Source organism: Homo sapiens, chromosome 1 (assembly GCF_000001405.40).
Source record: "Homo sapiens chromosome 1, GRCh38.p14 Primary Assembly".
Taxonomy (NCBI): Eukaryota; Metazoa; Chordata; class Mammalia; order Primates; family Hominidae; genus Homo; species Homo sapiens.
The window spans coordinates 40,843,825-40,867,342 of NC_000001.11; the positions used below are offsets into that span (position 1 = coordinate 40,843,825).

General features: G+C 49.9%; 1 protein-coding gene and 2 long non-coding RNA genes across 4 annotated transcripts, besides 6 other annotated features; 1 reads left to right on the forward strand and 2 right to left on the reverse strand.

The window, feature by feature from the left end:
- Positions 1–4,272: 4,272 nt before the first annotated feature.
- LOC105378676 (uncharacterized) lies at positions 4,273–13,670 on the reverse strand. Its single transcript, XR_947239.2, has 3 exons — positions 13,238–13,670; positions 4,973–5,002; positions 4,273–4,356 (listed from the first exon to the last, which is right to left on the reverse strand). It is a non-coding gene; the product is annotated as an uncharacterized LOC105378676 (long non-coding RNA).
- Positions 8,175–8,264: an enhancer, noted in NCBI's record as "active region_856". NCBI's record gives its function as "activates an Ori minimal core promoter by ATAC-STARR-seq in GM12878 lymphoblastoid cells {active_cell/tissue: GM12878}" and the evidence as "EXISTENCE:reporter gene assay evidence [ECO:0000049][PMID:35858748]".
- Positions 13,671–17,229: 3,559 nt separating the features above from the next.
- CITED4 (Cbp/p300 interacting transactivator with Glu/Asp rich carboxy-terminal domain 4) lies at positions 17,230–18,539 on the reverse strand. Its single transcript, NM_133467.3, has one exon. The coding sequence runs from the start codon at positions 18,301–18,303 to the stop codon at positions 17,749–17,751; it is 555 nt and encodes a 184-aa protein (NP_597724.1). The 5' UTR covers positions 18,304–18,539; the 3' UTR covers positions 17,230–17,748.
- Positions 18,326–18,405: a silencer, noted in NCBI's record as "silent region_736". NCBI's record gives its function as "represses an Ori minimal core promoter by ATAC-STARR-seq in GM12878 lymphoblastoid cells {active_cell/tissue: GM12878}" and the evidence as "EXISTENCE:reporter gene assay evidence [ECO:0000049][PMID:35858748]".
- Positions 18,560–23,107, forward strand: LOC124904157 (uncharacterized). Of its 2 annotated transcripts, none has more exons than XR_007066025.1 (3): positions 18,560–19,286; positions 20,344–20,571; positions 22,924–23,107. It is a non-coding gene; the product is annotated as an uncharacterized LOC124904157 (long non-coding RNA). The 2 variants fall into 2 exon arrangements; XR_007066024.1 differs by lacking the exon at positions 22,924–23,107 and having other exon boundaries at positions 18,560–19,026; positions 19,173–19,286; positions 20,344–20,764.
- Positions 18,566–18,765: a silencer, noted in NCBI's record as "silent region_737". NCBI's record gives its function as "represses an Ori minimal core promoter by ATAC-STARR-seq in GM12878 lymphoblastoid cells {active_cell/tissue: GM12878}" and the evidence as "EXISTENCE:reporter gene assay evidence [ECO:0000049][PMID:35858748]".
- Positions 18,866–18,925: an enhancer, noted in NCBI's record as "active region_857". NCBI's record gives its function as "activates an Ori minimal core promoter by ATAC-STARR-seq in GM12878 lymphoblastoid cells {active_cell/tissue: GM12878}" and the evidence as "EXISTENCE:reporter gene assay evidence [ECO:0000049][PMID:35858748]".
- Positions 21,349–21,898: an enhancer, noted in NCBI's record as "H3K27ac-H3K4me1 hESC enhancer chr1:41330845-41331394 (GRCh37/hg19 assembly coordinates)". NCBI's record gives its function as "activates a minimal SCP1, AML or CMV promoter by ChIP-STARR-seq in naive H9 embryonic stem cells {active_cell/tissue: H9 hESC(naive)}" and the evidence as "EXISTENCE:reporter gene assay evidence [ECO:0000049][PMID:30033119]".
- Positions 21,899–22,448: an enhancer, noted in NCBI's record as "H3K27ac-H3K4me1 hESC enhancer chr1:41331395-41331944 (GRCh37/hg19 assembly coordinates)". NCBI's record gives its function as "activates a minimal SCP1, AML or CMV promoter by ChIP-STARR-seq in naive H9 embryonic stem cells {active_cell/tissue: H9 hESC(naive)}" and the evidence as "EXISTENCE:reporter gene assay evidence [ECO:0000049][PMID:30033119]".
- Positions 23,108–23,518: the final 411 nt, after the last annotated feature.

Here is a 23,518-nt window from a genome sequence, read left to right on the forward strand (position 1 = left end):
GAAAGGAACAGAAAGAAATCCCGTGGCTGGTCCCAGACAGCAACGGAGAGAGGGGTGCAAGATGGGACTTTAGAATTAGGGGTCAAAGTTTACAGGATTTCATTAATCATTCCAAAGAGATAGGACTTAGCCATGATAGCAGTGGGGAGACAATAAAAGATTTTTCTCAGGCAGCACACTGGGGTAGATTTGCATTTTAGAATTTTTTTTTTTTCCTGGGATGGAAGATGTATTTGAGGGAGTAAGTGTGGGTGTGGGGAGAGCAGGTAGGAGACTGCTGCAGTCACCCGAGCAGGAGGTGCTGGTAACCCGAACAAGTCCCATGACATTTCACTAATTGAGTTAAATGTCTATTGAGCACCCGCTATATGCCAGACCCTGCCTCAGCACAATATACAGGATGAACAGACACGGGAGAACAAGTTACAGCCCTGAGGTCATCCAGCCCCTGGGGGAGACAGATGCACAATTAACCAATGCACAGCTACTGTTTATCTTCTAAATTTGCCTGGCTCAGCAAGGAGAGTTTGCAGGTGGCTCTGGGAGTCCCCAAACTGTCATCAAATACGGCCTTGACAGCAGATACAATTTTAGCTTGGTGTGTCATTTATCTATTGCTTTGTAACAACTTATTTTAAAACTTAATGGTTTAGGACAGATGTGGTGGCTCATGCCTGTAATCCCAGCACTTTGGGAGGCCGAGGTGGGTGGATCACTTGAGGCCAGGAGTTCAAGACCAGCCTGGCCAACATGATGAGACCCCCATCTCCTAAAAATTACAAAAATTAGCCTGGTATGGTGGCGTGCGCCTGTAGTCCCAGTCACTCAGGAGGCTGAGGCAGAGAATTGCTTGTACCCGGGAGGTGGAGGTTGCAGTGAGCCAAGATCATGCCACTGCACTCCAGCCTGGGCAACAGAGCAAGATTCTGTCTCCAAAACAAACAAACAAACAAACAAAAAACCACCAACAAAAAACCTTAATGGCTTAAAATAACAACTATTTTATTTTATTTACTCTTGATTCTGTGGGTCAGCAATTTGGGGTGAACTCAGCTGAACAGCTCTGCTGGTCTCACCTGGGGTCACTAATGTGCTTGCAATCATCTGGCATCAACAGGGTCTAGATGGCCCAAGAGGGCCTTCCCCACGTGTCTGCAATCTGGTGTGAGTTGGTCTGCAGGCAAGACGGCTCATCTCTGTTCTATGGAGCTTCTCATCCTCCAGTAGATTAGACTGTACTTCTTCATATGGCAAGAGGGCAAAAGCAGAAGCCATCAGGCCTCTGGAGGCCCAGGCTCAGAAGCTGTACCAAGGGGCTCAGCTCACTTTGATGGGTGCTCTGAATACGTTGCGATGTTTACACTCTTGTAGATCTAAAAAAACCCATGCAGTTATTTCTCTATTTAGATAATTTATTTCATGTACTTTTGTTTTTTTGAGAGTGCAGAGTGCAGTGGCCACTGCACTGGGCCATATTTCACGTACTTTTGACAGCTCCAATTGTTAAAACAGTTTCGTTTTCCCTCTGAGAAGCTGAGAGGCACATCTTCCCCTACCACCCACCTCTGTGTATAGCAGGACCGTGATAGCTGCTACCACGGTGTGTTGGTCTGTGTGGGATGGCATAGCAAATATCATGGACTGGAAGGTCTAAACAACAGAAGTGCATGATCACACAGTCAAAGTTCTGGAGGCTGGAAATTCAAGACCAAGTTATCAGCAGGGTTGGTTTCATTCTGAGGCCTCTCTCCTATGATTGTAGAGGCTGCCTTCTTCTGGTATCTTTGCATGATTATCTCTTGTTCTCTATGTACACAGGTCTGAGGTCTCTCTCTGTGTCCTAATAATCTCCTCTTCCTCTTCCTCCTCCTCCTCCTCCTCTTCTTCTTTGTGTTCCTAGTTTTCTTTTTCTTTTCTTTTTTCAAGTTTTATTTTAGGTTTGGGGACACATGTGCTGGTTTGTTACTAAGGTATATTGCATGATGTGCATGATGCTGAGGTTTGGGATACGACAGAACCTATCACCCAGGTAGGGAGCACAGTACCCAACAGGTCATTTTTCAACCCTTGATCCCCTCCCTCCCTCTCCCTTCTTGTGGTCTGCAGTGTCAATTGTTGCCATCTTTATGTCCATGTGTAACTAATGTTTAGTTCCCATTTATAAGTGAGAACATGCAGTATTTGGCTTTCTGTTTCTGCATTAGTTTGCTTAGGATAATAACCTCCAGCTGCTCAAGTTGCTGCAAAGGACATGATTTCCTTCTTTTTATGGCTGCATAGTATTCCATGGTATATACGCACCACATTTTCTTTATCCAGTCCACCATTGATGGATACCTAGGTTGATTCCATGTCTTTGCTATTGTGAAGAGTGCTACAATGAACATACAGTTGCATGTGTTTTTTTGGTAGAATGATTTATTTTCCTTTGGGTATATATCTAGTCATGAGATTGCTGAGTGGAATGGTAGTTTTATATTTAGTTCTCTGAGAACTCTCCAAATTGCTTAACTAATTTACATTCTCACCAAGAATGTATAATCATTCCCTTTCCTCTGTAACCCCGCCAACATCTGTTATTTTTTGACTTTTTAATAATAGCCATTCTGACTAGTGTGAGATGATATCTCATTGTAGTTTACGTTTGCATTTCTCTGATGATTAGTGATGATTGATGCTGAACATTTTTTCATGTTTTTTGGCCACTTGTATATCTTCTTTTGAGAATTGTCTGTTCCTATCCTTTGCTCACTTTTTAATGGGGTTGGTTTTTGCTTGTTGATGTATTTATCGCCTCTTCTTATAAGGATACCAGTAATATTGGATTAGAGCTCACCCTAAAAAACCCATTTTAACTTGATTACCTCTTTAAAGGCCCTATCTCCAAATGCAGTCACATTTTGAGGAACTGAGGGTTAGAACTTCAGCATATGAATTTTGGAGGGATGCAATTCAGCCAATGACACCTGCAACAGGGATTTCACCCACCAACCTGACGCATTTTCTGCTGTAAATGCACAGGATCTGAGAATCACTCGGGTTTGCCCCATCCCAACTGGCAGAGCTGAACAGAGCTATAGACATCATGGAACCAAGTGATTTGAAAACCCTTTTTTGAAGGCCCAGGAACCTTTGCTACAGCATAACCTATTTGGAATCCTAATATACAAAATATAATCAGTGCAATAAAAAATGGGAACCTCCCAGAGGTGGCCTCAATTCTCCCCTTACATACACATTGAGCATGTGCCTAGCATTTTGCTGCAGGCAAAATAGATCTGTCTCTGTGATGTATCCTTTATGTAACTATTGTAGTCGATTGTATTCTTTGTCTGAAAGTCTTCCTTCCTTCCTTGCCATTGCCATGGTTACCCTTGCATGGTGTGTACTTGCCTATCTGTCTTACAGCAGGTTTCCTGGAAACCAATTCCGAGACAGAGAGTGGTGTGCAGAAGGTTTTTAGGGGAGTGTGCTCAGGAGATTCATCTATAAGGAAGGTAGGAGGTAGGATTAGACAGAAGGAGAGGTTGATCTACTATGCGATAGCAACTGAGGTAGCTGCTGATCCTCAGGAGCCCTAGAGCTCATCTATCCCCGAAGAGTTGTGCTAAACTGAAGGAAGAAGGCAGGCCTTTGTTTTCCTTCAAAGGAAACCATCAGCCAATCATTAGCCAATCATGGCCATGACTGTGGGTGAGGCAGTTCCCTGTGGCCAAGGGCAATTCCCAATGAGTGACACAGTTGTGAGCCAGCAGAAGATTCCCAGCAGGCTCTGAAGGGTGGATCTGGGTGGAACCCCATAGCATCCACTCTACCAACCCCCTGACTTTGGGCTTGGCCATGGGATTTATTTTGGCCAATCGAAGGCAGGTAGGAAGGACAGTATGCTTTTTTTCAAGCGGAAGCCATACAGTCATGGCAAAGTTCTTCCACCTCGAGAGCCTCGGATAGCCGTTGTTTCTTCATCCTGGGTCCGGATGCAGGCATGTGGAGCAGACCTGACCTAGACTGAATTCAAGAGTCCAGCCTGGCCCAGCCAGCATCAGCTGAACTGCAGTTGACTTGGAGACTTAGGAGTGTGAAATAATCATTGATTTTGTAGGACACTGAGATTGGGGGTTTGTTTTCTTCATGGCATTATCACGGCAAGACCTGGTTAAGACAGCTAGTAAGGTGGATTTTACTGGAAGCAATGTCATAGAAGACTTACATTATACATCACAGAGGATTTTAAAAATCCTCCTTCAACATCTTTGTTTTTGTCCCAAATGGCTTCTCTGGGCATGAGGCATATCCTCTTCTCTTTCTTTTTTTCCCAAACAGGCTCTAAAATGAGTGGGAGATGTGAAGGATTTCCTGGAAGAGGTGGGAAGACTGCTGTCAAACAGATACCCTGGCAGAAGGATCTGAGGCCTGAGACCCAAGCTGCCCCGCCTGCCCAGAACTCGGATGGGGTCTGCCCTTACTTCCCACTCGCCCCTGCCAGACTTCCCCTAAATCCTCTCCTGGACCCCACAATCTTGCTCCTTCCCCTGGTGTGACTTCAGCTCCTGGAGGACAAGAAACACATCTGTGGCCAGTTCACGGTGGCCCACACCTTTAAACCTCAACACTTTGGGAGGCCAAGGAGGGTGAATCACTTGATACCAGGAGTTCAAGGTTGTAGTGAGCTATGATCGCGCCACTGCACTCCAGCCTAGGTGACAGAGTGAGACCCTGTCTCTAAAAAAGAAAAGATATGCATCTGCTGGGGTCATCACTCTCCCCAAAGCAAGGCTGGGCACACAGGTGATTCGTATATGCTGGCTGGAAGGGAGGGAAGCAGAGCCACCTGGGATTGATCATCTCCCAGTGAGAATACACCCAGTCCCTGTTGTGTGTCCCCACGGCCACAAGGCGTCAGTAAAGACCTTGGCTTGGAGTTGTCTGGAGCCAGGAAAACAGACTGGACTTTGAGGGCAGGACACCTCACCTGAAGGTGCTTTAGTTAGGTTCAGCACATCTGAAAGAGAGAGAGAGAAATAGGGGTGGTAGAACTGAGCAGTTGACAGAAGGGGACTCCAGGACTTGTCTCAGAGAGTAAGGGGCTGTGTTCTCTGCCCTTCATTCACTTATTCTACAATTGTTTGTTCATTTCTAGTACATGCCAAGCACTATTTTAGGTGCCAAGGTCCTAGCAGCTCACTCACAAAGTCCCTGCTCACATAGAGTAGATAGTAGATTACTGTCTAGACAGAAAACAAACAAAAAAAACACGATAATTTCATGGGGTGATAAGTGCCGTGAAGAAAATAAAATGGAAATGGAATAGTGACTGTGTTGCAGGGGGCGTCTTTCAGAGAGATGGTCAGGGAAGCTCAAGGGGAATCCAAAGCCTTCATAAAAAGTCAGAGCTGCCAAGGCTCCCAAGGGACCACTGGTCCCATAGCCTCATTTTGCAGCTGGGAAAACTGAGGCCTAGTAAGCCAAGGCAGAGCCCAGAGCTGAGCCCGAGTCTCTCGACCTCCAGATGGCTGGATGGCTTCCTCCTCTCCTCCCCTCACATCCTTAACCTCCCCCATGTCATCTTAGGGGGAAGGAGCAGATACAGGGGTGCTCTCAGAACGTGGGCATTAAACAGGGACCAGGGGAGTGAAGGGCAGCAAACAATACGAAACCACACAACAATGGGAAAGAAGTTCCACGAAGTTCAGATTTTTCCCATGCTGCAATTCTGAGCCTTTTTTTTTTTTTCAAAAATATTATGCATCAAATTCTTCTTCTGAAGTTTGGTTTTGGTGCCTCTGCTTTGCCTGTTTGAGGGGTATGACTGTGGAGAGTCATATGGGAGCCTTGGTTCCCTCACCTGCAAAATCCGAACCCAACTTTCCTGACTCCAGCAGTACTGTTGTGTGCAGCCTTTGTAAAGACCACAGGCACCCCCTCCCCATGGCTGTGCGGGTCTGGTCCCTTCCCTCTGCTTCTGAGCCCATCCCCGCTTGCCCACCCCAGCCCTGAGTCTGTCCACAGGAACATCCGACACAAGCGCACTTTGTTACAGACTCACTGTGACACCATGAGGTGGTTTTGGGTTTGTTCTCATGCCCGATTTGCCAACCAGGAAGCAGGCTTGCATGTGTGAGAGGGCTTGCTGAAGGTTGCACAGCCAGTAAGTGACAGAGCCAGGACTTGAACAGAAAGTTCCATTCAGTTTTCTCTACTCAAGGCTTCCATCCAAAATGACAACAACAGCAACAACCACCACCCAACGCTTTGGTGTTTGGGGATCTAAGCTTCATTTCTCTGAAAATGCACTGATGTGCAATGTGGATTTCGTGTTGGTCGAGGTGTCCAGGTGGTGTCACTTGGTGTGGTGCTGCCACCTGCCGAGAAAAGATGGGTGTTGCATCCCATCTCAAGCAGGCGCCGTCCAGGCCGAACCCAACTGTAGAGGCCTTTTCAATGCTTTTAAGTCCACTAAAAAGCGCAGCAAAGAAGCCCCAGACATGGGTCACTTGACCCATGGAAACACTGAGGTCCAAAAAGATCCTTTAAACAATTCATCTACCTTTGTTGACCTGACTTCCTCTTTTCCCATTTCCCACTGACCATGGCATCCTGTCTCCTGCCTCTCCACTCCCCTGGAATTGCTCTGGCAAAGTCATTTTGACTTTCTGATTGCCCAATTGAACAGCCTCTTTTTAGTCCTCACTTTACCTGACTTTTCAGCAGCATTAGGAACCCCTGACCACGCCCTCCTTTGGGAAACATCTCCCTGGGCTTTCAGGACACCTTTCTGCTGTTTCTCTCCCACTTCCCCAGCTGCTAATTCTCGGCCTCTATCCAAGGTTCTGTCCTTGGCCACATTCTTTTATCACTGGGCATCATCATTCCCAAGGCAACAATGGATGTGCTAATACCCCCCCAAACAAAGTTACTGTCAGTCCAGACCTAATTCCTGAGCTCCAGACCCATTTATCTGGCCCTCTTCCTCCTAGATGTCCACCTTGGATGGCCTGATGTGTCCATCCTAATCTATCCTGCTCCCTACAGCCTGCTCTTCCTGCTAGGATTCACCTCATGGAAGAGTCACTCTGTGCCCCAAGCCACACCCCTGGGAATCATTTTCCACTCCTTTCCTGTAGCCTCCACATCAGTGGGTCATTATCGTGACTGCAGGATCCATTCCCATCTTCTTCCCAGTAGCAGAACCTCTGAATTCTGCTTACACATATGGCCACCCAGAATAAAGACTACATTTCTGAGCCTCTTTTGTAGTTAGGGGCAGAAAACTTCCAGAAAGTTCACGACTCCTCTTTTCTCTTTTTTTCTGGCTGGAATGTTGATATGGTAGCTCGAGCAGCCTTTTTGGATCATGAGGTCTAACCCACAAATGACAAAGCAACAAGGTGGTGGGGCCTAGATGCTGACACTATGGATAACTACACCCATTCTGGACTACCTACCTGGTTCTTTTTATTTAAGCTACTGTTTTTCTGTCACTCAAAGCCACGTGCATAATCCTAAGTAATCGAGATAGAGTCATTCATTCTTCAAAAGAATATTCATGTATGCTAGACATTGCATTTCATGCTTTCTCAGCGCTCTCCATTTCTCCCACCTGCCCCTCTCAAATCCATTCTACTCACCACAGCCAGAGTGACCTTTCCAAAACACAAACCCAACTGTTTCCACTCGGCTCATGTCGTCTGTGACTCCCCATTACTAACAGAATCAAGTTCAAGCTCCTCAGCCTGCCACTAAGGGTCACCCCTCTTTGACCCTTGCCTACTCCGAGCACAACCCTTCCCCCGCTGACCATGCACCCTACACACTAACCACCCCGGACTTGTTGCCTTTCCTAGTAAAGTCTTATTCATTCATGTCACTCGGCATTTGCACACATTGTCACCTCCCTTGGAATTTCCTTCTTTCACGTGCTCATGTTCAAATTCTACCCCATCCTTCCCACTGTGTAAGTACCTAGTATGTGTTATGAACTGTGGTCAGTGTTTTCACAGCAGCAACTCATGGGTAAGGCCCCTTACTATCCTCATTTTACAGACAAGGAAACTGAGACTCAAAGAAGGGAAGTGAGTTGCCACAGATGAGTATTCATAGTGATGACTGCTACCAGGTCTACTAAATCTAAACAGTTCTTTTTTTTTTTCTTTGAGACAGAGTCTCGCTGTGTCACCCAGGTTGGAGTGCAGTGGTGCGATCTCGGCTCACTGCAACCTCTGCCTCCCGGGTTCAAGTGATTCTCGAGCCTCAGCCTCCCGAGTAACTGGGACTACGTGCCACCATTCCGGCTAATTTTTGTATTTCTAGTAGAGACAGGGTTTCACCATGTTGGCCAGGCTGGCCTCGAACTCCTGACCTTAGGTGATCTGCCTTCCTCGGCCTCCCAAAGTGCTGGGATTACAGGCGTGAGCCACTGTGCCCAGGCAACAATTCTCTTTATGTAGGACTCAGGCCTCTGATATCTTCCCCATCTGTACCAAGTACTCTGGGGCATAGGAGACTTGAGTTCTAATCTCAACTGAGCCACTTATTACTGTCACTTGGCTGTGGTGGAGGCTGCTGGTTGTCTACCAAAATCCATTTCCCCTCTTCCAGAGTAATTAAGTTACTGATGAACACATTGTCGCCAGCTAGAAACCGTATTTCCCAGCCTTCCTTACTGCAAAGTGTGCTCATGTAATTAAATTCTTGTCAAGAAAATCTGAAAAGTGACATGAGTCACTGGGCCTTAGAACACCAGGTGTGCTCACCTCCTCAGTCTCACCTTCCTGAGAGCCAGACACAAAGATGTCCATGACCCAGATTCCGCTCTGCAGAAAAAGATAGAAAAGGAAAGAAAGCCAACTTGGACTTTGAGGAGACATCTTGGCCCACGAGGTTGGAGTCATGAAAAGCAGAGCAACAGGAAGCAAGCAATCTGGGTCTGAATGACGGAGTGGAATCAGAAAGAAGTCTTTTCTGCTCTGCAAGCCACTTTAACATCTTTCTGGGCCAGGTACGGTGGCTCATGCCTGTAATCCCAGCACTTTGGGAGGCCCAGGCAGGGGGATCATTTGAGCCCAAGAGTTTGAGATCGGGCTGGGTAACATAGTGAGACTCCATCTTTACAAAAATTAAAAAATTAGCTGGATGGCGTGGCGTGCGCCTGTAGTCCCAGCTACTTGGGAACAGGAGGATTGCTTGAGCCCAAGGAATTCAAGGCTGCAGTGAGCTGTGATTGTGCCACTGCACTCCAGAGTGAGGCTCTGTCTCAAACAAAACAAAATGAAATCCACTTTTCTTGTTCTCTTTGTTGTAGCAGCTAACACTTAAATATTTCTTACTATGTGCGAGGCACCATCCCAATTATGTTAAATATTTTAACTCAATAAATTACTAGCTGTGTGGAAGCAGGCAAGTCATTTCGTCTCTGTAAGCCACAGTTCCCTCATCTCTCTATAACCTGGAATAATAATGCGCTAGCTTAGATGACAGCGAGTCAGGTGAGATATCATGAGTCAGTACTGAATGACCTAACAAGCAGACAGCTCATGTGTTTAAGGTACTAGCTGCAAATTTGAAAGACTTTGATGCGAAGAAGAAAAAGGGGAGGACGAGGAGGAGAAGAAGATAAAGTATTGCTATTGCAAAATAGCCATGGAAAGATTTGGGGCTTCCTTACACTGATTTTACAGCTAAGCAGTATTTTATTTTGAATCACATACAGGGGAACAAGAAAACTTACCCAAGCTACGTGGGCTATAAACGAGGGAGAGGTGGTTTCCCAAAGGAATTTTTGGGAAACCTTTTATCAGGAGAAGGGTGACTAAATCCTGGAAGGCATAAATAGCAGACGCCTACTTCTGCCCTTGGGTCTTTCTCCGCTGGCTGAAGAGCCCCGTCCTTCAGCCATTTGCGTGGGACATGGTTTGAAGTCCTCCCTGCCCACCCTGGACCCCTTCTCTGGACATACTCACAGCTATTGCTGACTCAGCACTGCTGTGCCAAGTTGGAAATAGCTATTGCTATTGGGAACTTACTGCATGCCAGGCACCGTGCTAAGTACATCAGCCAATAGCTCGTTTAATCCCATCTGTTGAGTGTGTAAGTATTGGAACATATTTTAGTTTAGAAACAAAAACAGAGGCTAACAGTGGTAAAGTGGCTTTGCCAAATGTCATGTATGTAGTTTGGAGCCAGATTCAAACCCAGAAGGGCCTGAAAGACTCAAGCTAGCAGCAGGGCCTGAGAGACAAGCCCAGGTCTGACGCCAAGTCTCTCAGGCCCTGCTGCTCGTCTGTCTGTGTTGCTGTCTCATTAGGGGCAGAAGCACCACTCCACAGACGTCTCTGAGGAGAGCCGGACCACCCCTGTCCTTCGTTTAAATCCAGAAGCTTGGCTGGGCGCAGTGGCTCCTGCCTGTAATCCTAGCACTTTGGGAGGCTGAGGCGAGCAGATCACTTGAGCCCAGGAGTTCGAAACCAGTCTGGGCAACATGGCACCCCGCCCCCCCGCCCCCGCCCCCCACTAAAATAGGGAGCTGAGCGCAGGACCCATTGAAGTCTGTGTGACACTCAAGATTCTAAGGCGTTGTTTTTTTTTTTTTTTTTGATACAGAGTTTCGCTCTTGTTGCCCAGTCTGGAGTGCAATGGCGCAATCGCGGCTCACTGCAACCTCTGCCTTCTGGGTTCAAGCGATTCTACTGCCTCAGCCTCCCGAGTAGCTGGGATTACAGGCGCCCGCCACCATGCCTGGCTAATTTTTATATTTTTAGTAGAGACGGGGTTTCACCACGCTGGCCAGGCTGGTCACGAACTCCTAACCTCAAGTAATCCATCCACCTCAGCCTCCCAAAGTTCTGGGATTACAGGTGTGAGCCACCGCACCTGTCTGGGGATTGTTCTCATTTGTAGAGTCACGGAGGGTAGATATCCACGAACATCAAGTCCAGGTATCTCCGTGAAGCAGAAGTGTGGCCAGGGATGGAGCAGGGAGTCCTCCACAGCCCATTAGAGGGTGGTCTCCAGCGGGGCTCATTTGTATGCCTCTTCCCACAGAGGAGCTCAGGCTTAGGGCTTTGCCATAAAACGGGCACATCAGACAGCAGACTGCCCTAGCCCAAGAAAGGGTGTGAGCCAATCGTTTTGTTTCAAACAAACACATGTTTTTGGTCAAAATAAATATACGCTTAAGACAAAATAATTTTCAAACAATGTAGAAAGCACAGAGTAAAAAGTCAGACCACCCCCACACAAGACTTTTCAAACACACACGATTCCATTATACTACACATACGTTACATACATATACATAATACACATCTCTTTTTTATATAAATAGGATTATAATATTTTATTTTATTTTATTATTTATTTATTTTTATTATTTTAAGACAGAGTTTCGCTCTTGTTGCCCAGGCTTGAGTGCAATGGTGCAATCTCAGCTCACTGCAACCTTTGCCTCCTGGGTTCAAGTGATTCTCCTGCCTCAGCCTCCCAAGTAGCTGGGATTACCGGCACCCACCACCACACCCAGTTAATTTTGTATTTTTAGTAAAGATGGGGTTTCACCACGTTGGCCAGGCTGGTCTCGAACTCCTGACCTCAAATGGTCCACCTGCCTCGACCTCCCAAAGTGCTGGGATTATAGGCATGAGCCACCACGCCCAGACTATTTTTATTTTTAAAAAATTATTTTGAAAATTTGTTTTGCCAACCTTAGAGTTAACTACACCTCATAAATAAAAAATGAAATTTTAAGTTTAAAATGTATTAAAATTTTCCTGGACTCAAGTGATCCTCCTGCCTCGGCCTCCCAAAGTGCTGGTATTCTAGGTGTGAGCCACCATGCCTGGCCCAGCACTTCCTAATGCCCTCTGAGCCACACAGGGGGCGATGGTGAGCCTTACAGTCTGGTGGAGAAAGACCCCTCAGCGACTCTGACACACAAGGTAATAGGCCTTTGGATGTGGAAAAGGCCCTATGGAGGGCATTTCAGGCTGAGGAAATGGCACAGGCAAAGGAACAGAGGCTTGGCGGCACGAGGAACATCGTGCATGAGGAGCCTGGGGTGGCTGGAGTTGAGGGTGGGAAGGCACTTGGAGGCTGGGTGGGGCAGGGCTCTGTCCTTCTCGTCCCTGTGGTCATATTTCCCAGCCACAGCTCCACCTGAGCAGCTCACGGGTCAGGCACTTAACATCACCTTGGTTCATTCTCACAAGAAGCTTATCGTGTCTCTATTTGACAGACGAGGGGACTGCACTCAGAGTAGCTTCCTTTATTTCTTCTATCCATCAGGGCACACTTTGGGCCCTGGGCCTTTACTCATGCCCAGTCCCCCAACCTGTGTGTCCTCCCCAAGCTGACCCACATCCCACTCTTTTATCAGCACCAGCCCTCAGGGCCGTCCAGACGCTGAGCTGCTCAGCAGTGCCTCCTTAGAGCCCTCAACATGAGACTCTACGTTGCATGCTCCAGGCTGGCCAGATCTCAAGCCCCAAAGTATATGCAGGTGTCCTCTTCCCAGACCAGCTACAGGATAAGGGCCATGGTTGTTCAGCCACAAACCCACTTTGGCCAGGCAGCACTGCACTGCTTGCAGTGTGCTCTCAGAAACCCAGCCTCATGTGAATCTTTGCACACACATTCTTCAGATGTTGGAATTATTCTCTCCATTGGATGGAAGAAGGAATCAAAGCCTAAGGAGGCCCAGTAACTTCCTCTGCAATTCACAGCCTCAGAGTGGCAGATCAGCTCTGGGACTCTGCTCTTATCCCACCCAGGCTCAGGTCCTTGGCCAGATCCAGCCTGGGAAGGGGACAGGCCCTGGATATGGTGGGGTGGACATGCTCACCTCACCTCTTACTGAGGTGTGACTTGGAGTAATTCTCTGAGTGCCCCAGTTTTCTGACCTCTGGAATGGGGATAAACTACCTAGCAGTGCTATTTACAGGGTTGGGCGGTGATTAAAGAGAGACTGGAAAAGAAAGAGTGCCACTGGGCACTCCCCGTCAGTTCCCACCATGCCTGCACGCAGCAGCCACTCAGTAAGCACTTATTTGGTCTTATAGTTGGCACTAATCTTGTCCCAGCACTTCTAACAACAGGGTGGCATGAAGAGTTAGGCCACGATGGATTAAGGAATTCAAGAGGATTACTTAGTAATCAGCTAAACCACTTAAGCTGCCTGGGAAAAGGCTAGGATCAGACTGATCATTAATTTATTCGATAAATGACTGTTGAACACTTATCTGACCTGGAGTGATGACGATGATGATGACAATGACGATGATGATAATGATGATGACAATGACGATGATGATGACAATGACAATTATGATAGTGATGGCAGCGCTCAGTTATTGAGAATCTACCATGTGTGGGGTATTTTGTATAGAGTCTCATCACATCAAACCTGTAAGGTTGATACATTTACATTTTGTTGTTTTTGTTCTGTAATGGGGAAGGTGCTGGTCAGGTCTGAGACTAAGGTGAGGCAAAAGAGATACCCAGGGCATAAATTTAAAGAGTCCCTTGCTGTTGGGAACCAGAGTCCCCACCCCAGTGCTTGTGGTGAACACTGTGATGTGCCGCCCAGAGCCCCCTTCTATGAAATCATTGCCCTAGTCTGGGCACGGTGGTGCATCCTGTAATCCCAGCACGTTGGGAGGCCAAGGCAGGCAGATCACTTGAGGCCAGAAGTTGGAGACCAGACTGGACAACATGGTGAAACCCCATCTCTACTAAAAATACAAAAGTTAGCTGGGTCCGGTGGCACATACCTGTAACCCCAGCTATGCAGGAGGCTGAGGCAAGAGAATCACTTGAACCCGGAAGGCAGAGGTTGCAGTAAGCAGAGATCGCGCCACTGCACTCCAGCCTGGGCGACAGAGTGAGACTCTGTCTCAAAAAAAAAAAAAAAAAAAAGAACAAAAGAAAAGAGAAGAAAAGGAATCATTGCTCTAGCCCCCAGGAGTGCTGCTGTTGGTAGACAGCCGTACCCTGGCAGCTCCTCCAGGGATGAGCTTAGCTGGGGACAGCTGCCTTGCCCACAGTCACACCACTTCTCTGGGTGGCTCACATCCAGTGACTGATGGAGGCAGGAGTATAAAGGATTAAAATGGTCCAACTCAGGCCAACTCTGAAGGGCCCTTCTAGCTCCAGAGCTCCCAGCGGGGCTGGCTGAGGCTCCTGCTGGGCCTGCTTTGTAGCTTCTTAGCTCCTTCTGTCCCCTCCCTTCTGCAGCTGCTGATCCTGAAGGCACTCCCTAATACACCTCTTGCTAGCTGAATGTCATCTCAGAGTCTGCTTCCCAGGGAACCCCACCTGTAACAGTGTTGCTTGTTGGAGTAACCCCTTTCTAGCTGGTTAAAACACAGCCTTTCTAATATTCTAATACAAAGGCATCTCCAAAAAGTGCTGTTATCAGGGATAACAGCACTTACTACAAACCACACTGCTCTCAATACTTTACCTGCACTAACTTGTTTAATCTCCACAGCAGTTCTGCAGGGTGGTACTATTAGCATTCCCATTGTAGAGATGAGTTCAAGGGAAATTATACTTTTCTTGAAGGAAAAAAAACCACACACACAAATGACAGCTTGTTGATAAAATCCAGTCAACCAAAAGATAATTCAAAATAAAGAACATCAGCCTGGAAACTTTCATATGAATAGGAAAACAAAACAAAACAACAACAACAAAAGGATGGGAAAATGACTTGTGTCATGACTCAGTTCTCAACCCTGAGGAAGCCTGATTTCTGACCCCCAAGATCCAGCCTAGGTATAAGAGAGAAATCCACAGCACCCTTTGGCAACAGGTTGCTTTAGGAGGCAGCCCTGGGGGAGACATGAGCGACACCCTGTTGGCACCACGGAAGCTCGTGTGATTATCTTAGGAGAGCCAAGATGCGGGAGGTGTGGTGGCTTCCTTGAGGTCAGGCAGCTAGTAAGAGTTGCTTCTGAACTGGACCCTGAGGCTGTCAGACGACAAGCCCATTGCTCTCCTCACTGTCTCTACACGTACTCTCTCTTCCCCTGGTAGGGGATGGTAGGGTCAGAAGCCTCCAAACAGTATCAGGGATTTGGGGATCCAGGCTGTGGGATGCCCCAGCCTCATCTTCTCCCCTGTCCATCTGTCTGCTGTCCAACTTGTCAGCAGTCCCTTTTGGAGGGATGCAGGAGGGAAGAGCTCAGCAGCTGGACTCTCTCCTCCGCTTCCCCCTTAACTCTGGAAAGAGGCAGGTGTTGGGGTTTTCGTTGTAATCCCTTCCATATGGAGAGCACTTCAGAGTTTGCCAACTGCTTATCAACCCATCTCTGAATTTGTTCCTTACTAATTGTGAGGGTTATTGCTTTGTAATGTAGCAGGGCAGGGATATTAGCCCCATTTTACTGGTGTGGAAACTGAGGGGAGAGAGAAGAGAATCAGGGAAGTGTTCAGCTCAGGGTCAAACCCTCCTGTACTAATTCAGCCCTGTGGTTTCTGTCTCTGGCCTGGGGTTCTGGGCAAAGCAGCGGGGCGGTGGGGTGGGCAAATGCCAGCCCCTCTGAGCCCAGAGCTCAGGCCAGTCCCTTCCCAGAAGGCTCTCTTCCTTTCTCTCTTCATCCTGTCCCAGAAATCCCATGATCTTAGGGAGACCTTTATTCATTTGCCAAACACCTCCTGTCACCAGCCACATTCCATCCTGGTAGCTTCAGAGCACAGTAGGTCCTGGGAGAACTCACAGGTTGGTGGAGGGTCACATCCACAAAAAAGCCTGGCTTGAGAGTCAAGCCCAGCTGCTGGGGACAGAAGGTCTCAGCCTGGTGTTCCCCTCCAGTGTCCCTGGAATCCATGCTCTCCTAGAGAATGCCCCACCACCGCAGCGTCTCTGACCCGGCCTCCTCCCTGACTTCAATCTCTTTCCCAGCTTTTCTCCCACATCTCAGAAGCACCTAGGGATTTTTCCAGAGTGAACTGCAGAGGGTGGCCAGGAACTCACGCTGGTGCTCAGGACTCTGAGGCCAAATCCTGCCAGGCCTGGGCACACTCCACAACCCTCATGTGTAGAATGAGGACTGTGCTTGCCTCACGAAGTTGTCGTAAAGCCATTCGACCTTTCTTGTACCTTCTAGACACCCCACACCTTCCCCAAACATTCATCGTACTTGTGTGCCTTCCTGCCTTGAAACAGGCTCCTCTCCTAAAAACATATTCATCACTCAAGGCTCTGTTCATCACGTCAAATGTCACCGCTTCCCTGAAGCCTGAACTGACCCCAACCTCAACTATTAATAGCTGAAACTGCTCCCTTCTCTGGGTGTGCCCGCTTGGCCGGTCTATTGTCCTGGCTGTACAATCCCCCCCAGAACTATTTTCTTTTTTCTTGAGGAGTCTCGCTCTGTTGCCAGGCTGGAGTGCAGTGGCATGATCTCGGCTCACTGCAACTTCTGCCTCCTGGGTTCAAGCGATTCTCCTGCCTCAGCCTCCCGAGTAGCTGGGACTATAGGCGCGCACCACCATGCCCAGCTAATTTTTATATTTTTAGTAGAGACGGGGTTTCACCATATTAGCCAGGATGGTCTCGATCTGTTGACCTCGTGATCTGCCCGTCTCGGCCTCCCAAAGTGCTGCTTAGCACTGTTTTCTAGAACTCATCACAGTCTTCCTTGCAGCAAGATTAGTTTGTTTTCAGGCCTATCACCCACCTCCTCCCACCTGGGCTGTGATTCCATGAGAACATGCACCAGGTTGACACAGGGCCTGGAATAAAATCAGCACCAATTTGTAGAATAATAATTGCCGTCACTTACTGAGAACTGCCCAGGTATTTGGCACTGTGCTAAAGGCAGCGTAACTACCTGAGGAGACGGGGACCATCTCCCTCTGGGAAACCGCCTCAAAAATCAGAACGGATGGTGTCTTGGGCAAAGGAGAGAGTCAGGGTCCAAAGCTAGGCTGTCTGAACTCGGTGCCACCCAGCTCCTCTCTGGCAGAGCACCAAGCTCCCCCCACCCTACCCTAGGAGCTGGGAAGCCCAGTGGGTTACCCCACCACCCAGTGGCAGCCTCTGCCCTCCAGGTTGTGACATAACAATTGCACAACCCACGAGATATTTTTGAAAGAAACTGTCGGTTTCCTCTCCTGGGCACTGCTGGGGACTGTGGCCCCCATGCCATCCAGTGTCTTCAGCAACCTTGGGACTTTGGAAGCTAAATATAGTCAGGGCTCGGGGTGATAAGGAAATGAAAACGGCAAGACTGTAAAGTGACCCAGTTTTATTTTGGTTTTGGAGGCCAGACAGGGCATTGCTCCACGGGTTCGGGCTGTACAACCTTCCCCTCCTTGAGGTGGGAGGCCCAGCAACCACAGGGCCCAGGCAGCGGGGTGGGAGGCTCAGGAGATGGTGGCTCTGGGGACCCGATCCCGAGGAGAGAGGGGGCAGCAGGCAGAGGCCTGCAATGGCTCAGATTGGGGGAAGAGGGCGGCGAGGGGGAGAGGACACGATCCAAGAACCAGAGTCCGAAAGCTGAAGCTGGTCCGGTCTCTTTCACTTTACGGCCGAGGCTGGGGTCAGAGAAGTGAAGCCAAACTGTCCTCCCGCAGGAGGCAAGGCCTGGAGGGACGCCAGGGTCCCAGTCCGGTGCCGGGCCCTGCGCACACAGCCGCCGCCTCCACCCTCGCGGAGGGCGCGCGCGGGGCCCAGTCGCTGGGTGCAGGGTCCGGCGGGCAGTCGGGCCCTTTCTCCTCTCCGGCACGCCGGGCGGGCGCCGGCCGCCCTCAGCAGCTCACGGAGCCGGCGGGCGGCGCGGACCCCAAGTCCGAGAAGCAGTCGAACTCGCTCTGGCCCAGGAAGAGCTCGGGCAGCTCGCGCACGCGGTGCAGCCCGAGCTCCAGCTCCAGCGACGTCAGCGCCTCCTCGTCGATGAGTTCGGCGTCCATGCCGCCCAGGGCGTGCGCGGGCGGCGGCGGGGCTGCGGCGCTTGGCGCCGGCTGCGGGCCCGGGGGGCCTCCCGGAGCGTTGGGGGGCGCGGCCGCGCGGCCGGGGTACGGCGTCGCCACAGGCTGCAGGTGCGCGATGCCCGCGGCCGGCGGAGGCACGGCCGGAAAGGGCTGGAAGGAGGACGGCGGCCCGAAGGCCCCGTACGCCAGGGCCCCGGGTTGGCGGGGCGGCGGCGGCCCCAGCGGAGCCCCCCGCGGCCTCAGCCCACTGTCCAGGCCCGGGCCCGCGTACGGCGGCAGAGTCCGGAGCGCATGAGGGCCATGGGCGGCCGCGGCGGACGGCGGCCTCTGCACCAGGCGGTAGCCCTCGGCGAGCATCAGGTGGTCGGCCATGGCGGCAGGCCGGCTGCCTGCGGGGACAGCGCGCGGTGGTCAGCGCCGGCTCCCCCGGCCCGGGCCAGCGGCTGCTCTGCGGCGGGAGACCCGGGCACCGTGCGGTCCCTGCAGCTCGGCCGGGCGGAGCAAAACCAAACCCGACTGGTGCCCCGGCCCAGCCCACTACTGCGCACCTTGCGGCCGCAGCCTGGGGTCACAAAGGCCCGCAACCTGTAGTGCTCCGAAACCTCCGCGTCGCGTAGCTGGGCTCGGCGTATTCTTATACCCAGAGGCGGGGCTTCCCCGCCCTCGGACGCTCATTGGCTGGGCGAGACGCTTCTGGGCGGGCCGCGCACGCCTGCATCTAGGTCTTGGCCCCGCCCCTCCCACTGGAACCCCGCCCCTTGGGACTCCGGCCACGCCCCAGGCTCTGAGCACCGCCCTGGGGCGGGGTATTTGGCACTTTCGGAGGGATTCGGTCTGGCCCTCAGGGCTTCGGAATCGGACTTGGCTGGGGTAGAGCTTGAACTGACCAGAAGGTGGGGTGGGAGGGCCAGAGTTTTAGGCCCCCCAAGAGCTGCAGGATGTCAGGCCTACGCAACCTTTTAACTTTCCAGGTAGAGACCGAGGCTCAGTGGCGGAAGAGGCTTCCTGGAAATACACAGCAAAGCCTTGATCAAAGTGAGACTGCACAGCTACACAGGGCGCATGCACCTTAGCGGTGCAGGGTCCCCGCAGGAGGTCAGCTGTCCATTCCCATAACCCCCAGGAGAGCCTGTTGCTCCCCCTCTAGTTCCCACTGCACCTTGTCTGTTGAAGCATGTACTTAGTTGTTATTAATTTATGGGCACGTCTCCTGAAGGACTTGTTCATCTTCTTCTTCTCAGCACTTGGCCCAGAGCCTGGCCCAGAGCAGGCTTTTAGTAAAAGCTGAGTGAATGAACTAATGATGGAATGAATTGCAACTCTCAGCTGAGCCTCAGTTTCTTCATCTGTAAAAGGTAAAGAACAGCAGCACTGACCCTTTGTGAGGGGTAAGTGAGGGCATGTGTGCACAGTGCCTAGCACAGTGCCTGGTATGTGGTAGATGCTCAAAAGTGTCCCTTAGATGAAAGAAAGGCTATTTAAGTTCTTTTTTTTTTTTTTTTTGAGACGGAGTCTCGCTCTTTCGCCCAGGCTGGACTGCAGTGGCGCTGTCTTGGCTCACTGCAAGCTCCGCCTCCCGGGTTCACGCCATTCTCCTGCCTCAGTCTCCCGAGTAGCTGGGACTACAGGCGCCCGCTACCACGCCCGGCTAATTTTTTTTGTATTTTTAGTAGAGACGGGGTTTCACCGTGTTAGCCAGGATGGTCTCGATCTGCTGACCTCGTGATCCGCCCGCCTCGGCCTCCCAAAGTGCTGGAATTACAGGCGTGAGCCACCGCGCCCGGCCAAGGCTATTTAAGTTCTGTCCCAAAGGGCCTTCTCTTGATAACAGCAATAATAACTTGGACTTTTAAAGTGCTTTACATTCTACAAGTATTTTGTTGGGGGCAGGGCATGGATTATCAGCCCCATTTCAGTGATAAGGAGAAGCACACAAAGAGAAAGTGGCTGTCCTGAGGTCACAGGCAGCCAGAGTTAGCGTGTGAATGCCATGTGTTTTCCAAGTCCTTAGGGCAACTGGAGTCTTTCCTGTGGCCAGGAGACAGCCTCCCAGAACCTTACCCTCCACGCATTTGACACTCTCTCTCCCTTCTCTGACCTTCCCCCGACCTGTGGCATCCTTGGGACTTCCTGGAACTTGGGTTTATCCAGTTGATGTAGAGGGGAGAGCCCTAGAGTGAGAATTCAGGGGCCCAAGGTCTTTTCTTCCCTCTTTCTTCTTATTTTTTTAAATAGAGAAGGGAGCGGGGGGGAGGGGCGGCGTGGGGGAGTGAGGAGGGCCTCAGGCTTATCTCGAATCCCTGGCCTCAAGTGACCCTCTCACCTCAGGCTTCCAAAGTGCTAGGATTACAGGCATGAGCCACTGCGCCCAGCCAGAGGCCCAAGTTCTAATCATATCTCTGCCACCCACAGGTGTGTGACCTCCACCACCAACCAGCTGTGACTGTTGAGTGTTGAGCGGGGAGTATTACTTGATTCCCCAGGGCCTCAGCTTTCTGCTCTGTGAAAGGGAGACGGTGATCTTGCCTGGTCAGCCTGAGAGCTTGTGGGTAGTGATAAATGACCATGGGTGTGGTCACATTTTTGCAAAGTGTAAAAAGCTACACCCTGGAATTTATTCTCCTGAATCTTTCTCTACAGGTAAGGCTTCTCACAGAAATTCTTAAACCTGGCCATGCCTCACACTTATCTGGAGATGTGGGGGGTAAGGGGTGGGTGAGTGGGGGCTTTGATAAAGACGGAAAATCTGCCCAATTTGGGAGATGAAAGTGAGAGGATTGCTTGAGCCCAGGAGCTCAAGACCAGCCTGGGAAACATAGTGAGACCGTGTCTCTACAAAAAGTTAAATAATTAGTTGGGCATAGTGGCATGTATCTGTAGTCTGAGCTACCCAGGAGGCTCAGGTGGGAGGATTAGCTGAGCCCTGGAGGTGGAGGCTGCAGTGAGCCATGATGGCACCACTGCACTCCAGCCTGGGCGACAGAGATCTTGTCTCAAAAAAATCAACAAGCAGGCCAGGTGAGTGGCTCACGCTTGTAATCCCAGCACTTTGGGAGGCCGAGGTAAGTAGATCCCTTGAGCTCAGGAGTTTGAGACCCCTGTTTCTGAAAAAATAAAAAATTAACTTGGCATGGTGGTGTGCACTTGTAGTCCTTGCTACTTGGGAGGTTGAGGTGGGAGGATCACTTGAACCTGGGAAGTTGAGGCTACAGTGAGCTATGATCACACCACTGCACTCCAGCCCGGGTGATGTAGGGAGACCCTCTCTCAAAAAACAAAAAAAAACAAACAAAACAAACAAAAAATTATTCTGCCATCATTGGTCTTAGGTCACCAGCATTTGGGAGCCATTGCACCACCAGATGATTTTCCATTTAAAAAAAAATGTGTGTGTAACTAATGTTTAAGAAGTTCTTTAGGCCGGGCATGGTGGCTCACACCTGTAATCCCAGCACTTTGGGAGGCCAAGGTAGGCAGATCACCTGATATAGGAGTTTGAGACCAGCCTGGCCAACATGGTGAAACCCTGTCTCGACTAAAAATACAAAAATTAGCTGGGTGTGGTAGCACACGCCTGTAATCTCAGCTACTCAAGAGGCTGAGGCAGGAGAATTGCTTGAACCCAGGAGGCGGAGGTTGCAGTGAGCCTAGATAGCGCCACTGCACTCCAGCCCCAGCGACAGAGTGAGACTCCATCTCAAAAAAAAAAAAAAAAAAAGAGAAAAGACAAAAAAAAAAAAGGAAAAATAGAGTAGGAAGGAGGTTGGGGTGCAGGGGAGGAGGGGAGCAAGTTGTAGTATTAAGTGGGGTATCTGGGGCAAAAGCGGGCTGGGCGTGGTGGCTTACGCCTGTAATCCCAGCACTTTGGGAGGCTGAGGTGGGTAGGTCACTTGAGGTCAGGAATTTGATATCAGCCTGGCCAACATGGTGAAACCCCGTCTCTACAAAAAGTACAAAAATTAGCTGGGTGTGGTGGCACGCACCTGTAGTCCCAGCTACTCAGGAGGCTGAGGCAGGAGAATCGCCAGAACCCAGGAGGCAGAGGTTGCAGTGAGCCGAGATGGTGCCACTGCACTCCAGCCTGGGCAACAAAGCAAGACTCTATCTTTAAAAGAAGAAAAAAAAAAAAAGCCGTATCAGCAGAGAGAACGCTGGAGCAGCACTTCTAAAACTGTAGCAACAAGTCCTGAAGTGTCAGCCTTACCAGGGACCCCATTAGAAATGCACATTCTAGGACCGTACACCAGACTCAAATCAGTTTCTGAATCAGAAACTGGGCTGGAATTCAGCATCTGTGTTTTAATAAGCCCTGCGGGTGATTCTGATTAAGGACCTCTGAGTTAGGGGGAAGCCTTAGGCAAGGGTGAGCCGCAGCCCTAAGGGAGTGTGGACAGAGTGCAGTGGGGCTAGGAGGGTAGCAGGGAGGCCAACTGCATTGAGGCCTTGCAAGGACTTTGGCAGAGGAGTGACATGATCTGGCCTTTGTTCTGAAAGTGTTGCTATGGTCAGACCTCATTTGTTTCTAGAGTTTCCATAAACTGCTTCCTCCAGGCTCCTTGGATGCCCCAAGCACATTTGCTTCTCAGGACTCTTGCTGTGCCCTCTGCCTGGAATGCCCTTCCTTCAGACAGCCACAAGACCTTCCCTGACCACCCTCTATCCATTCTGTCCCCTTACTCTGTTTTGCTTCTGTCCTTAGCACCCACCACCATACAGTCATGCCCTGCATTACATTTGGGTCAAGACAATGGTCCTATAAGATTACAATGGAGCTGACAAATTCCTATCACCTAGTGACCTTGTAGCCACTGTAACGTCATAGCGCAACACATTCCTCACGTGTTTGTGGTGATGCTGGTGTAAACAAACCTACTGCGCCCCCAGTCATATAAAAGTATAGCACATACAGTTATGTACAGTACACTTGATAATGATGATAAACAACTATGTTACTGGTTTACGTACTTATGATATGTTTTATTGTTATTTTAGAGTGGACTCCTTCTACTTAAAAAAAAAAGTTAACTGTAAAGCAGCCTCAGGCAGGTCCTTCAGGAGGTATTGCAGAAGGCGGTTATCACGTGAGATGACAGCTGCATGTTACTGCCTCTGAAACCTTCCAGTGCGCCAAGGTGTGGAGGTGGAAGACAGTGATATTGATGATCCTGACCCCAGGCTAATGTGTGTGTTTGTGTCTTAGTTTTTAACAAAAACAGTAAAAAAAAAAATATTGAAAATAGAGAAAAGCTTATAGGATAAGGATATAAAGAACAAAAACGGGCTGTGTGTGGCGGCTCACGCCTGTAATCCCAACACTTTGAGACGCTGAGGCAGGAGGATCACTTGAGCCCAGGTGTTTGAAACTAGCCTGGGCAACATAGCAAGATCCTTGTATCTACCAATAATAAAAAAAATTAGTCAGGCATGATGGCATGCACCTGTAGTCCCAGCTACTTGGGAGGCTGAGGTGGGAGGATCACCTGAGCCTAGGAGGTTGAAGCTGCAGTGAGCCAGGATTGTGCCATGGCACTCCAGCCTAGGTGGCAGAGTGAGACCCTGTCATAAAAAAAAAAAAAAGAGGGCCAGT